The sequence below is a fragment of the Homo sapiens genome, chromosome 3 (genome assembly GCF_000001405.40).
Source record: "Homo sapiens chromosome 3, GRCh38.p14 Primary Assembly".
In the NCBI taxonomy this organism is placed as follows: Eukaryota; Metazoa; Chordata; class Mammalia; order Primates; family Hominidae; genus Homo; species Homo sapiens.
Window position 1 is genome coordinate 167,585,201 of NC_000003.12, and position 17,966 is coordinate 167,603,166.

Here is a 17,966-nt window from a genome sequence, read left to right on the forward strand (position 1 = left end):
TGAACACATTTTCACTGCTGACAAGAATATGAGAAAACAGACACTTTCATATACCCCTGATGAGCATGCCTATTGGTACAACACTTCTTCACTGTAATAGGCAATATTTATGTAAAGCCTTTGAGATCTAATAGCATAACTTCTAGAAACTTATTACAAAAACATTAACCTAAGAGGTCTTAAAAGGGTGCGTGTGTGTGTGTGTGTGTGTGTGTGTGTGTGTGTGTGTGTGTCATGGCTAACAAAGATAAACAACTTAGAAACAATATCTCCTTTAATCAACAGGTGATTAAGTAGTTAAATTATGGCCATCCATACTAAGAATTGCTGTATAGCCAAAAAATACAGATATATGTATATCTATGTGTCTATCTATAAAGATCTTCAAGAGATACTGTTTAGGAAAAAGCAAATTGTAGAAAAAATATGTGTCATATGATACCATTTACATAAAAACTAATAATAAATACTACCCTGTATTTGTTCACACTCAAAGGATAATATATATAATAACATTAAATAAAGTTGTATTTTGTTATAATGACATATTATTATAATACATTATTATGTATAACATAGTAAGTATATAGCAAAACAATATAAGAAGATACACGTCTAGGGTTGATGATAGTTATTCCTTGGGAAAGAAATGGATTTGAAGGGGAAATGATCATAAGGAATATTTACTTTTTGCACTACATGCTTCCTCATCATTTGCAATTTTTATAGGAGGGCATTAATCCATTTACCGGCGTACTTTAAATGAAAATCCTTTGTTTCTGGATGGATAGATGGAAGTCGGGATGGGGAACAGTGTGGAAAAAAAGAAAAGAAGATAAATGGTAAGACAAAATTCTGATTGTATTGTTCTTACCAACCATAGGTCTACAATATAGAAGCCAGGTTCTGAGAAAAATCAGAACCTCAAACAAAGGATTAAGCCACAAACTGATTTGCTTCTGCTGACCAAATCAGGATTAGTGGCCTCGGGGAGAATAGTTAGGAGTAATGAAAAAGCTGAATTAGGCCCACAGGCTGAATGTCAGTCTCCATCAGAGAGTTTGACATAGGCTTCAAAAATCTTTTTTACTCCCCATGGTGGTTCCTCTCCAAATGACTAAGTTACTTGCCCTCAACAGGGCCTTACCACCAGTGACTGCCATCTCAAGAGAATCAGTTTAGGAGTTCAAAGCAAAATACGATTGAACTCTTTAATCACCACTGGAAAATAGCAATAGAGAAGATTTCCAAAAACGAAATGAAGTTTCAGATCATTTTTGGAGAAAATTTTGTAGATTTAAATTGCTTTGTCTATAGATCTTCTAATTCAGCAATTCATTGACCAAAACATGTTTCAATCAAAAGCTCTTGAAAACATAATGTGTTTTCATTTTTTCTAACTTAACCCCAGTCCTATAAAATATCCAAAAGACTTTGACAGCAATAAAGCAGAGGCTTACCCTGGTGGCAGAATGCATTGTTGTTTGTTGTAAAGACGTAAAGACTGAGATCACGATGCATTTATTAAAGTGAAATAGATTTAGACTAACATGAAAGACAACATGACAAGCTTCATTATAATGTAATGCAAACAAAACAAAAATAGAAAGATAAATTGTTTTTGGAAGAGGCCAGGTAGTCTTAGCATTGATGATAGCTGTACATAATCACCTGTGACTCTAAAGACATTTTTTCACTTGCTTTTACGTTATAAAACCTCTCGGGGAAGTCTTAATGACAAAATATCTGATACTTGTTTCATATTTATATTTGATAAAGATTCTCTTATTTAACTACAATTTATTGGGGACCTGGTATATATATGGTATAATTCCAGAAAGACATTGCCCCTAACCTTATGAATCCTATCATTTAGTTGATAGTTATACTGTTTCATATATTATATTTAACATGTATTTAATACATTAATATTTTCTAGGTCTTGGGAAACACAAAAATAAATTCAACAAATAATCTTTACCTTCAAGCAGTCAGAATCTAATGAAAAATACAATATACATATACAATGCTCCGGTATCCAAATCAGATTGTGTTAAATTCAATAATGGAAATGAAACAAAGTGCTAAAAGATCTCAAAAAGTAGGCCAGCTAAATCTAACTAGGGCATCATAAAAGGTTTCACTCAAGTTTTTTGATACTTTAGACTCAAAGTAATATGTCTTCACTTCAAGCTGTCAACATATAACTATTGAATAAGCACTACAAGGTGCCAAGCACTGTGATAAATACCAAGAATACAAGCTGAAAAGACACTGACCTTTTTTTTCACTTTTTCTTTTTTGAGACAGGGTCCCTCTCTGTCACCCAGGCTGGAGTGCAATGGCATGATCACGCCTCACTGCAGCCTCAGCCTACCAGGCTTAGATGATTGCCCTACCTCAGCCTTTCGGGTAGCTGGGACTACAGGTGTGCGCCACCATGCCCACTAATTTTTGTATTTTTTGTAGAGATGGGTTTTTCCATGTTGCCTAGGCTGATCTTGAACTCCTGGGCTTAAGTGATCCACCCACCTCAGCTTCCCAAAGTGTTGGTATTACAAGCGTGAGGCACCACACGAGCCCTCTTTTTCATTTTTTCTAATTAATTTTTTTATTTTGGTGGGTACAGAGTAGGTGTATATATTTATTGATTACATGAGATATTCTGATACAGATATACATTGCGTAATAATCACATCAGGGTAAATGGAGTAGCTATCACCTCAAGCATTTATCCTGTGTGTTACAAGCAATCCAATTATATTATGTTAGATATTGTAAATGTACAATTAAACTATTTTTTACTATAGTCACTCTGTTGTGCTAGCAAATACTAGGTCCTCTTAATTCTTTCTATTTTTTATACCCATTAACCATACCCACTTCCTCTCCAACCTCCCCCACCACTACCCTTCCCAGCCTCTAATAACCATTCTTCTTCTATCTCCATCAGTTCAATTGTTTTAATTTTTAGCTCCCACAAATAAGTGAGAACACCTAAAGTTTGTCTTTCTCTAACTGGCTTATTTCACTCAGCATAATGACCTCCAGTTCCAACCATGTTATTGCAAGTGACAGGATCTTACTCTTTTTTATGACTGAGTAGTACTCTACTGTTTGTAAATACCACATTTTCTTAATCCATTTATCTTTTGATGGACACTTGGGTTGCTTCCTAATCTTGGCTATTGTTAACAGTGCTGCAACAAACATGGAAGTGCAGATATCTATACGATATACTGATTTCTTTTCTTTGGGGTATATACCTAGTAGTGGGAATGCTGGATCATACGGCAGCTCAATTTTTAGCTCTATTACAGTGGTTTTACCAATTTACATTCCTACCAACAATGCATGAGAATACCCTTTTATCCACATCCTCACCAGCATTTGTTATTGCTTGTCTTTTGGATATAAGCCATTTTTAACTGGGGTAACATTGTAAATTTGATATCTCATTGTAATTTTGATTTGCATTTCTCTGATAATAAATAATATCGAGCACCTTTTCATATGCCTGTTTGCCATTTGTCTTTTTTTGAGAAATGTCTGTTCAGGTATTTAGCCCATTTTTAATCAGATTGTTAGATTTTTTTTCCTAGAATTGTTTGAGCTCCTTGTATATTCTGGTTATTAATCCCTTGTCAGATGGATAGTTTGTAAATATTTTCTCCCGTTCTGTGGGTTGTTTCTTCACTTTATTGATTGTATACTTTGCTGCGCAGAAGCATTTTAACTTAATGTGATCCCACTCATCCATTTTTTCTTCAGTTGCCTGTGCTTGTGGGGTATTGCTCAAGAAATTTTTGCCTAGTCCAATATTCTGGACAGTTTCTCCAATGTTTTTATTTAGCAGATTCATAGTTTGAGGTATTAGATTTAAATCTATAATCAATTTGGATTTAATTTTTGTATATGACAAGATTTAGGTGTCTAATATTATCTTCTGCATATAGATATTCAATTTACCCAGCACCATTTATTGAAGAAACTGTCTTTTCCTCAATATATGTTCTTGGCACCACTGTCTAAAATGAATTCACTGTAGATGTATGGATTTATTTCTGGATTCTCCATTCTATTCCACTGGTCTATGTGTTTGTTTTTATGCCAGTGTCATGACGTTTTGGTTACTGTAGCTCCATAGTATAATTTGAAGTCAGTTAGTGTGATTCCTTCACTTTTATTCTGTTTGCTTAGGATAGCCTTGGCTATTCTGGGTCTTCTGTGATTCCACATAAATTTTAGGATTGTTTTTCCTATTTCTATGAAGAATGTCATTGGTATTTTGATAGGGATTGCATTAAATCTGTATATTGCTTTTGGTAATATGGACATTTTAACAATATTTATTCTTCCAGACCATGAACATGGAATATCTTTCCATTTTTGTAGCTTCTTCAATGTCTTGCATTAATGTTTTATACTTTTCATCATACAAATCCTTCACTCTTTTGGTTAAGTTTATTCCTAGATATTTAATTTTATTTGTAGCTATTCTAAACGGGATTATTTTCTTGATTTTCAGATTGTTGTTGGCATATAGAAATGCAACTGATTATGTTGATTTTGTATCCTGCTACTTTACTGAATTTGCTTACCATTCTAATGTTCTTTGGTGGAGTGGTTTTTCCAAATACAAGATGTTATTATCTGCAAATAAGGATAATGTGCTTTCTTCATTTCCAATTTGGATGCCCTTTTTATATTTCTCTTGTCTGATTATTCTAGCTAGGACTTACAGTACTATATTGAATAACATAGTGGGCATTCTTCAGATCTTAGATGGGAGGCTTTCAACTTTCTCCCATTTCAATACGATATTAGCTGTTGGTCTTTTATATATGGCTTTTATTATATTGAGTTATGTTTCTTCTATATCAAAACTTTTTGAGTTTTTTAAATCATGAAGAGATGTGGAATTTTATCAAATGCTTTTTCAGAATCAATTGGAACGATTATTTAGTTTTTGTCCTTCATTCCATTGACATCATGTATCAAATTGATTGATTTGCATATGTGGAACCATTCTTGCAACCTTGGGATAAATCCCACTTGGTCATAATGAATGATTTTTTAAATGTGTTGTTGAATTTGAATTGGTAGTATTTTGTTGAGGATTTTTGCATCAATGTTTATGAGGGCTATCTGCCTGTGGTTTTCTTTTCTGATGTGTCTGTGTCTGGTTTCGGTATCAGGGTAATAATGGTTTTGTAGAATGAGTTTGGAAGTATTCCTTCCTCCTTTACTTTGTGGAGTAGTTTGAGTAGGATTGGTACCAGTTCTTCTTTTAATGTTTGGTAAAATTCAGCAGCAAAGCCCTTGGGTCCTGGGCTTTTTGTTGTTGAGAGGCTTTTAACTATGGCTTCAGTCTCATTACTTGTTATTAGTCTGTTCAGGTTTTGAAAATTTTTATGGTTCAATCTTGGTAGTTCGTATATGTCTAGGAATTTATCCATTTCTTCCAGATTTGTCAAGTTATTAACATATAGTGGCTCATAGTAGCCATTAATAATCATTTGAATTTCAGTGGTGTCAGTAATAATATATCCTTTTTCATCTGTACTTTTATATTTTATTTGGGTTTTCTCTCTTTTTTTTCTGGCTAGAAAGTTAGTCTGGCTAAGTTAGTCTGGCTAAAGTTTTGTCAATTTTGTTTATCTTTTCCAAAACCAACTTTTCATTTCATTGATCTTTGTATTCTTTCTTCATTTCAACTTCATTTATCTCTGCTCTGATCTTTATTTTTTCTTCTACAGATTTGGGGTTTGGTTTGTTTTTTGAATTCTTTAAGAGGCACCATTAGGTTGTTTATTTGAAGTTTTTTCTCTTTTTTGATGACAGCTGTAAACTTCTCTTTTAGTACTCCTCTTACTGTATCCCATAGGTTTTGGTATGCCATGTTTCCATTGTCATTTGTTTCAAGTAATTTTTCAATTTCCTTCTCAGTTTCTTTATTGACACACTGGTCATTCAGGAGAATATTGTTTAATTTCCATGTATTTGTACAATTTTCAAAATTACTCTTGTTATTGATGTCTAGTTTTAGTACCTTGTGATTAGAGAAGATGCTTGATATTATTTAAATTTTTTGAATGTTTTAAGACTTGTTTCATGACCTAACATATGGTCTATCTCTGAGAATGATTCATGTAGTCAGAAAAAGATTTTGTATTCTTCAGCAGTTGGATGAAATGTTCTATAAATATCTATTAGGTCCATTTCTTCTATAGTGCAAAGTCTGATGTTTCTTTGTTGATTTTCTGTCTGGAAGATCTTCTCAATGCTGAAAAACAGGTGTTGATGTCTCCAGCTATTGTTGTATTGTGGTCTATCTCTCTATTTAAGTCTAATAAAATTTGCTTTATATATCTGGGTGCTCCCGTTTTGGGTACACATATATTTACAATTGTTATATTCTCTTGCTGAACTAATTCATTTATCATTATATAATGATTTCTTTGTCCCTTATAGGTTTGGCCTGAAATCTATTTTGTCTGATATGAATATAGGGACTCCTGTTCTTCCATTCTGGCATGGAATATCATTTTTCCTTCCTTTATTTTCAGTCAGTGTGTGTCTTTATAGGTTAAGTGTCTTTCTTGTAGGCAATAGATAATTGGGTCTTGTTTTTTTTTATCCAATCACTCTGCTATGTCGTTTGATTGGAGAGTTTAGTCCATTAACATTCAATGCTATTATTGACAAGTAAAGACTTACTTCTGCCATTTTGTTATTTGTTTTCTGGTTGTCTTCTGGTCTTCTCTTCCTTCTTTCTTTCCTTCCTGTCTTCCTTATAGTAAAGGTGATTGTCACTGGTCATATGATTTAGTTTCTTGCTTTGTATTTTTTGTTCATTCCTTGTATGTTTTTTAGTTTGAGGTTACCATGAGGCTTGAAAATACTATCTTATAATCCGTTATTTTAAACTGATAGCAACTTAACACTATTCGTATAAACAAACCAACAAGCAAAAAGAAAACTAATAAAGACCCTATACCTTAACTTCATGCTCCTTAACTTTTTAACTTTCTGTTGTTTCTATTTATATCTTATTGTACTGTCTATGTCTTGAAAAGTTATTGTAGTTATTTTTGATTAGTTCATCATTTAATCTTTCTACTTCAGATAACAATAGCTTACACAGCACAGTTACAGGGTTATATTCTGTGGTTTTTTTGTGTACTTACTATTACCACTGAGTTTTGTACCGTTAGATGATTTCTTTTTCTTTTTCTTTTTTTTTTTTTTTTGAGATGGAGTCTCACTCTGTCGCCAAGCTGGAGTGCAATAGCACCATCTCAGCTCACTGAAACCTCTACCTCCTGGGTTCAAGAGATTCTCCTGCCTCAGCTTCCTGAGTAGCTGGGACTACAGGTGCACACCACCACGCCCAGCTAATTTTTGTATTTTTAGTAGAGATGGGGTTTCACCATGTTGGGCAGGACGGTCTCCATCTTTTGCCCTCACGATCCTCCCACGTCAGTCTCCCAAAGTGCTGGGATTACAGGCATGAGCGACTGCTCCTAGCCAGATGATTTCTTATTGCTAATTAACATTCCTTTCTTTCAGATTGAAGAACTCCCTCTAGCACTTCTTGTAGGAAGGTCTGGTATTGATGAAATCCTTCAGCTTTTGTTTGTCTGGTAAGGTCTTTATTTCTCCATGTTTGAAGGATATTTTTGCAAGATATAGTTATTTTCCTTCAGAACTTTAAATATGCTATTCTCTCCTGGCCTGTAAGATTTCCCTGAAAATTTTGCTGCCAGACATATTGAAGCTCTATTTTATGTTATTTGTTTCTTTTCTCTTACTGCCCTTAGGATTCTTTCTTTATCCTTGACCTTTGGGAGTTTGATTATTAAATGTCTCAAGTTAGTATTCTTTGGGTGAAATCAGCTTGGTGTTCTATAGCCTTCTTGTATTTGGACATTGATATGTTTCGCTAGGTTTAGGAAGTTCTCTGTTATTATCCCTTTGAATAAACTTTCTACCTTGTTTCTCTCTCAACTTCCTCTTTAAGTCCAATAACTCTTAGATTTGCCTTGTTGAGACTGTTTTCTAGATCTTGAAGGTGTGCTTCATTCATTTTCATTCTTTTTTCTTTTGCCTCCTCTGACTGCATTTCTAAATATCCTGTCTTCAAGCTCACTAATTCCTTCTTCTGCTTGATTGATTCTGCTATTAAAACACTGACACATTCTTCAGTTTGTCAATTCCATTTTTCAACTTTAGAATTTCTGCTTGATTTTTTTAACAATGTTAATGTCTTTGTTAAATTTATCTGATAGAATTCTGAATTCCTTCTCTGTGTTATCTTGAATATCTTTGAGTTTTCTCAACACAGCTATTTTGAATTCTCCATCTGAATGGTCACATATCTCTGTTTCTCCAGGATGTGTTATTGTGCCTTATTTAGTTCATTTAGTGAGGTCATGTTTTCCTGGATGGTGTTGGTGTTAGTAGCTGTTCTTTGGTGTCTGGGCATTGAAGAGTTAGGTGTTTATTGTAGTCTTCACTGTCTTGGCTTATTGGTAGCTATCTGATATGGTTGGCTCTGTGTTCCCACCCAAATCTCATCTCAAATTGTAATCCCCATGTGCTGAGGGAAGGACCTAGTTGTAGGTGACTGGATCATGGGGGAGGTTCCCCCATGCTGTTCTCATGATAGTGAGGGAATTGTCACAAGATCTGATGGTTTAAAAGTGTGCGGTGGTTCCCCTCTCTCGTTCTGCCTCTCCTGCTACCATGTAAGATGTGCCTTGCTTCCCCTTCACCTTCTTCCATGATTTTAGTTTCCTGAAGTCTCCCCAGCCATGAGCAACTATGAGCCAATGAAACCTCTTTCCTTTATAAGTTACCCAGTCTCAGGTACTTCCTTATAGCCATGTGAGAACAAACTAATACAGAAAATTGGCACTGGGAAAGTGGAGTGCTGCTATAAAGATACCTGGAAATGTGGAAGCAACATTGGAACTGGGTAACGGGCAAAAGTTGGAAAAGTTTGAAGGGCTCATAAGAAGACAGGAGAATGTGGAAACATTTGGGACTTCTTAGAGACTTGTCAAATTGTTTTGACCAAAATGTTCATAGTGATATGGGCAATGAAGTTCATGCTGAGGTGGTCTCAGATGGAGATGAGGACCTTACTGGGAACCGGAGCAAAGGTCAAACTTCCTATTCTTTACCAAAGACACTGGTGGCATTTTGCCCCTGCCCTAGATACCTGTAGAAATTTGAACTTGAGAGAGATGATTTAGGGTATCTGGCAGAAGACATTTCAAAGCAGTAAAGCATTCAAGATGTGACCTGGCTTTTTCTGAAAGCATACAGTCATATTCATTCCAAAGAGATAGTCTGAAGTTGGAAATTATGTTTAAAGGGAAGCAGAACATAAAAGTTTGGAAAATTTGCAACCTAATCATGTGGTAGAAAAGCAAAACCCGGCCTTTGACAAAATTCAACAACCCTTCATGCTAAAAACTCTCAATAAAGTAGGTATTGATGGGACATATCTCAAAATAATAAGAGCTATCTATGACAAACCCACAGCCAATATCATACTGAATGGGCAAAAACTGGAAGCATTCCCTTTGAAAACTGGCACAAGACAGGGATGCCCTCTCTCACCACTCCTATTCAACATAGTGTTGGAAGTTCTGGCCAGGGCAATTAGGCAGGAGAAGGAAATAAAGGGTATTCAATTAGGAAAAGAGGAAGTCAAATTGTCCCTCTTTGCAGACGACATGATTGTATATCTAGAAAACCCCATTGTCTCAGCCCAAAATCTCCTTAAGCTGATAAGCAACTTCAGCAAAGTCTCAGGATACAAAATCAATGTACAAAAATCACAAGCATTCTTATACACCAACAACAGACAAACAGAGAGCCAAATCATGAGTGAACTCCCATTCACAATTGCTTCAAAGAGAATAAAATACTTAGGAATCTAACTTACAAGGGATGTGAAGGACCTCTTCAAGGAGAACTACAAACCACTGCTCAACAAAATAAAAGAGGATACAAACAAATGGAAGAATATTCCACGCTCATGGGTAGGAAGAATCAATATCGTGAAAATGGCCATACTGCCCAAGATAATTTACAGATTCAATGCCATCCCCATCAAGCTACCAATGACTTTCCTCACAGAATTGGAAAAAACTACTTTAAAGTTCATATGGAACCAAAAAAGAGCCCGCATTGCCAAGTCAGTCCTAAGCCAAAAGAACAAATCTGGAGGCATCACACTACCTGACTTCAAACTATACTACAAGGCTACAGTAACCAAAACAACATGGTACTGGTACCAAAACAGAGATATAGATCAATGGAACAGAACAAAGCCCTCAGAAATAACATTGCATATCTACAACTATCTGATCTTTGACAAACCTGAGAAAAACAAGCAATGGGGAAAGGATTCCCTATTTAATAAATGGTGCTGGGGAAATTGGCTAGCCATATGTAGAAAGCTGAAACTGGATCCCTTCCTTACACCTTATACAAAAATCAATTCAAGATGGATTAAAGACTTAAACGTCAGACCTAAAACCATAAAAACCCTAGAAGAAAACCTAGGCATTACCATTCAGGACATAGGCATGGGCAAGGACTTCATGTCTAAAACACCAAAAGCAATGGCAACAAAAGCCAAGATTGACAAATGGGATCTAATTAAACTAAAGAGCTTCTGCACAGCAAAAGAAACTACCATCAGAGTGAACAGGCAACCTACAAAATGGGAGAAAATTTTCGCAACCTACTCATCTGACAAAGGGCTAATATCCAGAATCTACAATGAACTCAAACAAATTTACAAGAAAAAAACAAACAACCCCATCAAAAAGTGGGCGAAGGACATGAACAGACACTTCTCAAAAGAAGACATTTATGCAGCCAAAAAACACATGAAAAAATGCTCACCATCACTGGCCATCAGAGAAATGCAAATCAAAACCACAGTGAGATACCATCTCACACCAGTTAGAATGGCAATCATTAAAATGTCAGGAAACAACAGGTGCTGGAGAGGATGTGGAGAAATAGGAACGCTTTTACACTGTTGGTGGGACTGTAAACTAGTTCAACCATTGTGGAAGTCAGTGTGGCGATTCCTCAGGGATCTAGAACTAGAAATACCATTTGACCCAGCCATCCCATTACTGGGTATATACCCAAAGGACTATAAATCATGCTGCTATAAAGACACATGCACACGTATGTTTACTGTGGCATTATTCACAATAGCAAAGACTTGGAACCAACCCAAATGTCCAACAATGATAGACTGGATTAAGAAAATGTGGCATATATACACCATGGAATACTATGCAGCCATAAAAAATGATGAGTTCATGTCCTTTGTAGGGACATGGATGAAATTGGAAATCATCATTCTCAGTAAACTATCGCAAGAACAAAAAACCAAACACCGCATATTCTCACTCATAGGTGGGAATTGAACAATGAGAACACATGGACACAGGAAGGGGAACATCACACTCTGGGGACTGTTGTGGGGTGGGGGGAGGGGGGAGGGATAGCACTGGGAGATATACCTAATGCTAGATGATGAGCTAGTGGGTGCAGCGCACCAGCATGGCACATATATACATATGTAACTAACCTGCACATTGGGCACATGTACCCTAAAACTTAAAGTATAATAATAAATAAATAAATAAATAAATAAATAAATAAAGATGTTTGCCATACTTTACAATTTTCATAAAATAAACTCAAAATGGAAAAAAAAAAAAAAGAAAAGAAAAACCCATTTTTTAGGGAAAAATTCAAGTTGGCTGCAGAAATTTACATAAGTAACAAGGAGCCAAATGTTAATAGCCAAGACAATGGGGAAAATGTCTCCAGGGCATTTTGGAGATCTTCGTCACAGGCCCAAAGGCCTAGGTGGGAAAAATGGTTTCATGGGCCTGGCCCAGGGTCCTGCTGCCTCTGTGCAGCCTCAGGGAATGGTACCCTGCATCCCAGCTGCTCCAGCTCCAGCCTTAGCTAAAAGGGGCCAAGGTACAGCTAGGGCTGTTACTTCAAAGGGTGCAAGCTCCAAGCATTGGCAGCTTCCACATGGTGTTGAGCCTGTGGGTGCACAGAAGACAAGAGTTGAGTTTTAGGAGCCTCTGCCTAGATTTCAGAGGATGTACAAAAATGCCTGGATGTCCAGGCAGAAGTGGGCTGCAGGGAGCCCTCATGTAAAGCCTCCACTAAGGCAGTTCAGAGGGGAAATGTGGGGTTAGAGCTCCCACAGATAGTCCCCCTGGGGCACTGACTAGTGGAGCTGTGAGAAGAGGGCCACCATTCTCTAGACTCCAGAAGGGTGGATCCACCAACAGCTTGCGTCGTGCACCTGAAAAAGCCACACACACTCAACACCAGCTTGTAAAAGCAGCCACAAGGATGGTACCCTGCAGAGCCACAGGAGCAAATCTCCCTACTCAAGGCCAGGGAGCCCACCCCTTGCTTTAGCATGCCCTGTATGTGAGACATGGAGTAAAAGGAAATTTTGGAACTTTAAGTTTCAGTGAGTGTCTTGCTGGGTTTTGGACTTGCATGAGGCTTGTAGCCCCTTTGTTGTGGCCAATTTCTCCCTTTTGGAATGGTAACATTTACTCAATGCCTGTATCCCCACTGTATCTTGGAAATAACTAAATTGCTTTAGCATTTGCAGGCTCATAGGCAGAAGGGACTTGCCTTGTCTCAGATAAGACTTTGGAATTAGGCTTTTTGGGTTAATATTGGAATGAGTTAAGACTTTGGGGGACCATGATGGGGGCATGATTGTGTTTTGAAATGTGAGAAGGTTGGGCTGGGGACAGTGGCTAATGCCTGTAATCCCAGCACTTTGGGAGGCTGAGGTGGGCAGATCACGAGGACAGGAGATCGAGACCATCTTGGCTAACATGGTGAACCCTGTCTTTACTGAAAACTCAAAGAATTAGCTGGGCATGGTGGCAGGTGCCTGTAGTCTCAGCTACTCTGGAGACTGAGGTAGGAGAATTGCTCGAACCTAGGAGGCAGAGGTTGCAGTGAGCCGAGATCACACCACTGCACTCCAGCGTGGGTGACAGAGCAAGACTCCATCTCAAAAAAAAAAAGAAGAAAAGAAAAAAGAAATGTGAGAAGGACATAAGATTTGGGAGGGGCCAGGGTGTAATGACATGATCTGGCTCTGTGTCCCCACCCAAATCTCATCTCAAATTGTAATCCCCATGTGTCGAGGTAGGGAGGTGATTCGATCATTGGGGCAGTTTCCTCATGCTGTTCTCATGATAGTAAGTGAGTTCTCATGAGATCTTATTGTTTAAAAGTGTATGGTGGTTCCCCCACCCCACTCTCTTTCTCCTGCTGCCATGAAAGATGTGCCTTGCTTCCCCTTCACCTTCCACCATGATTGTAAGCTTCCTGAGGGCTCCCCAGCCATGTGGAAACATGAATCAATTAAACTTCTTTTCTTTATAAATTATCCAGTCTCATAGTTCTTTGTAGCAGTGTGAAAATGGACTAATACATTTTTTGAGAGGCTTTCCAGATATTTGAAAGGAATTGAGTGTTGTGATATAGGTGTATCTTCATTAGGGGGCACCCCAAACCCAGTGATGCTGTAGTTCTTGCAGACTCATAAAGGTCCCAGTTTGGAATCTTGGATAAAATCCAGAAGTGTCCAGATTACTAGACAGGCTCTTATTCTCTCACCTTACTTTCTACCAAACAAATAGAGTCTCTCTGTCTCTATTCTGAACCACTTGGGGCTGATGGTGGAGTGACACAGGCACTTATGTGGCCATCACCACTGAGACTGTGCTGGGTCAGATATGAAGCCAGCACAGCACTGGGTCTTGCCAAAAGCCTGCTGTAACCATTACCTGGCTACCACCTATGTTTTCCCACGGCTCTGGGGCTCTATGGTCAGCATGTGGTTAAGCAGACAACCTTGTGTCCTTCCCTTCAGGGCAGTTAGTTCCCTCAGGTCCCAGGCAGGTCCAGAGATGCTGTCCAGGAACCAGGGCTATAGTCAAAAACCTTAGAAATCTACTCGGTGTTCTATTTTACTATGACTGAACTGGCACTCAAACCACAAAATTCAGTTCTTCCCACTCTTCCCTCCCATTTTCACAGGCAGAGGAGCCTCACCTCATGACCACCACCACCACTGTCCCATGGGGAGAACTGCTACACTACTGCCATTGTTCACTTAAGGATTAAGGCTCTTCAGTCAGCTTGTGGTGAAGTCGGCCAAGCCTGAGACTCACCCTTCAGGGCAGTGGGCTCTCCTATGGCTCAGGGCATGTCAAGAAATGCTGTCCAAGGGCCAACACCTAGAATCATGGACCCGCTTGGTGCTCTATCTCACTATGGTTGATCTGGTACCTAAGGTGCTAGACAAAAATCACCTTTACTTAACTTCTGCTTTTCTCAAATAGAAGTGTCTCACTGTAGCCACCAGAGATAGTAATATTCCATGTCTCACCTGAAGTCAACACATCTCAGTCTCACCCAAGTTCCATGGTGTACTATCTGGCTATCTCTGCTGTTTATTTAGAGCTCAAGGAAGTCACCTTTACTTTACTTCTGCTTTTCTCAAATAGAAGTGTCTCACTGTAGCCACCACAGATAGTAATATTCCATGTCTCACCTGAAGTCAACACATCTCGGTCTCACCCAAGTTCCATGGTGTACTATCTGGCTATCCCTGCTGGTTATTTAGAGCTCAAGGACTCTTTAGTCAACAAGTGATGGGTCCTTCCAGGACTCGGTCCTTTCCTTAAGGTAGCGGGTTCCCTTCTGGCCCAGGATATGTCTAGAAATGTTATCTGGGAGCTAGGGCCTGGAAGGGGGGCACCTCACAATTCTGACCAGGGACCTATCTTATTGTGGCTGTGCTGGTATCCAAGATGCAAGACAAAAGTCCTCTTTACTCATTACTTTCCTCTCCTCAAGCGGAAGGAAGGGGTCTCTTTCGAAGTTGTGAATTGTGCTGCCTGGGGTTGGGGGAGTCGTGGTACAAGCACTCCTTTAGCTGCCCTGGCTGGTGTCTCAGTAAGTCATGTCCCCCCACACTTCCCCCAAGTCTACTGGCTTTTAGCCCATCTCAGGCACTACGACTCACCTAGGAGTTGCAGTCCTTGTGGTCCATGCCACACAGACACTGTGGTGGGAAAAGGGAAGGGGTGGCATTGGTAATTGGAGACTGTATTTCCTACCCTCTTTGGTGATCCTTTCAGTTAAAACCAGGTACTGTGAGTGCTCACCTGATTTTTTTGGTTCTTATGAAGGTGTTTTTGTGTATGTGTAGATAGTTGTTAAATTTGGTGTTCCTATTGGGGGAGACCATTGGTGGGGCTTTCTATCCCATGATCTTGCTCCATCCCTATTTTACATTTTCAATACTGATGCATCTTAAGAAAGCAAACTAACAATATCAGTACAGTATGATACCTGCTGTAATGAGAGACACACAAATGCAACAGGAGCACACAGAAAGAAACACCTACGTCTGCATAAGAGACTTCAAAAAGTCTAAAATGTGGAGGATAAATAGGCATCTGCCAATTAATAGAAGACAGGGAATTGAAGGCAGAAGGAAGAGCATGTTGCAAAGCCATGAAACTGCATGGTGAGAAAAGATAATAATTTGATATGATTGGAGCATTAAATGAATTTGAAGGAGAAAAGCGGGAAGTGAAGTGGGGCTAGTAGATGGGGGGAGCTTTGTATAAAATTTTAAGAATTTGAGAGTTCATATTTAAATAGAGGGCAGAGATGAAAGACTGAAGAATTTTTCTGCAAGCTACTTGCAAATTAGCAGAATGGAGGGCAGAGTAGAGTCAGATCAGTCTGAAAATAGAGAGATATATTAGAAAACCTTTGCAGTATTTTGAGGAAAAGAAGATAAGATTTTGAATTACAGCAGTAGCAACTGAGATGGAGAGGTGAAACTGATAAACATTTTGATGGTAAAATCAACAGAAATTGGCAGCTGATTGTTGAAGTTCAAGAAAAAGTTTACATGCTAGGTAATACAGTAAAATAAGTAAGTTTGGTAGAATTTATGGTGGTTAATTTTGGTAGAATTTATGGGGTGTGGCTAAGGAGTTGAAGATGAATTTCTATGTAATTTATATTTGCATATATTTTAGCATACAACAAAAATTTATATTCACTCAAAGACTATCTTCAATACACTTTATATGCACCCTCCTCTTCATAACCAACTATCTTGAAATCTATCATGTTAACTGGATCTTTAAGTTGGGCATTAGTAAGATTGAAGCTTTACCAAGGAACAAAAGTCAAGACTCTTAGAGATGAAGAAATTTGCCTAAGTGGATATAAGTAATAAATAGTGTTGTCAGGATTCAACCTGGACTCTACGGCTCTAGTGCCATATTTTTTTTTCCACCATATTTAAAATATCCCATCAATATCATAAAACAGAAATGAACTGATACATTTAATTAAAAGGTTCTTAATGTGCTTGATGTTCTTCAGATTAACTTCAATTTCTAATTAACTGAGTCTCTTCAATATCAAAGCAATAATATTTAATTGCCTATGCCTGGACTTTATCTTATCAAAGCAACATTTCATTTTCTGTTTTTTCTATTGAATTTGTGAGAACATTGGAAGCTGTCAAGGTGTGACATATTGAGAGCCCAATAAAGATTAAATCCCTGAGTACATGATTTGAAAAAATTTAATGAAATACTTTGCCCACTTGTCTAGGACTACTGTTAAGTAACCATCAACCAACACCTTTTCCAAATATAGACTTCCAAAAACATAAGTAGCTAGCCAGTATATTTTAAAAACTGACACGATCTCTCAGAGAAATTCAGATCCCAGAGTTGATTTGGGTAGGAATCGGGGAAGCAAAACTAAATTAATTAAAAGCACAATGTTACTTACTTTATCCTTGGAGAAGCTGAAAAGTTGTTTTCTTTCCACAAAGAATTGGACGGCTATTACACTGGCTGAGTGGCCCCAAAGGACACCCACTGGTTTAGAGACAACATAGGGATTCCAAAGGCAAACTTTATTGTTAATGCCAGCAGTTGCTAATCAGAATTAGAAAGAAAAAAAATGTTTTTAATAGCATGAATAGCCCACAGCATTTTCTTTGTGAAATGAGTTTACCATATAACTCTAGCTTGATGAATGTCAACTGTAGGTTGACTAATGCACCTGTTTTGCCATTGTCTAACTAGACCAGGCTAATAGAGCATGAGTTCTGTCAATAGAAATAGTTGAAATGGAGGGATTAGGGAAGAAAAAATTTGTCAAGGGGAAAAGGCTATGTATGAGGTGAAAGAAAACATATAGTCCCATTTAAAAACCAACCAACAGCCTAACCAGGAGGGGACAGAATCCTTCTTCCTAACCCTGATATTTCCCCTCTCCAGCCAGCTTAGCCTACAAATGTAGGCAGTGTTAAAGTTATCCCAGGAGTAAGAAAGAAAGAAAACAATGTTGAAAGTTCATAAATTAATTAAAAACTATAAAAAGACAAATTATCAAGTAATCAAGTACAGTCATGCATTTCATAACATTTCAGCCAACAATATACAGCATATACGAATATGGTCCCATGAGACTATAATATGGTATTTTTACTGTACCTTTTATATGTTTAGATACATAAATACCATTGTGTTACAGTTGCCTATAGTATTTAGTAAGTCTCATGCTATAGAAGTTTGTAGCCTAGGAGCAATAGGCTACAGCATATAGCTTAGGTGTGTAGTAGGCTACACCATCTCTTTGTGTAAGTACACTCTATGATGCTCACACAATGGAAAATCACCTAATGATGCCTTTCTATCCCCATCATTAAGCAATGCACGACTGTATGTGCAAGCAAAAAAGCAGCACAAATATACTTTTGACCTGCTTTATTATGGAATAAGATATTTTTGAACATCAATCAGTTATATTTAGGGAGCTCTTCC

At 37.8% G+C, this 17,966-nt stretch overlaps 1 protein-coding gene across 4 annotated transcripts in view, besides 1 other annotated feature; it reads right to left on the reverse strand.

The window, feature by feature from the left end:
- WDR49 (WD repeat domain 49) overlaps positions 1–17,966 on the reverse strand; it is a 179,240-nt gene that overhangs the window by 106,517 nt on the left and 54,757 nt on the right. For all 4 annotated transcript variants that reach the window (NM_001348951.2, NM_001366158.1, NM_001348952.2 and 1 more), the window contains one exon: positions 16,927–17,075. In NM_001348951.2, coding sequence (NP_001335880.1) covers positions 16,927–17,075 — 149 coding nt within the window. The remainder of the gene's footprint in view (positions 1–16,926; positions 17,076–17,966) is intronic.
- Positions 8,529–8,698: an enhancer, noted in NCBI's record as "experimental_66573 CRE fragment used in MPRA reporter constructs". NCBI's record gives its function as "activates a minimal promoter by MPRAs in K562 erythroleukemia cells, with activity observed for both the introgressed and non-introgressed 3:167311602 variant alleles {active_cell/tissue: K562}" and the evidence as "EXISTENCE:reporter gene assay evidence [ECO:0000049][PMID:34662402]".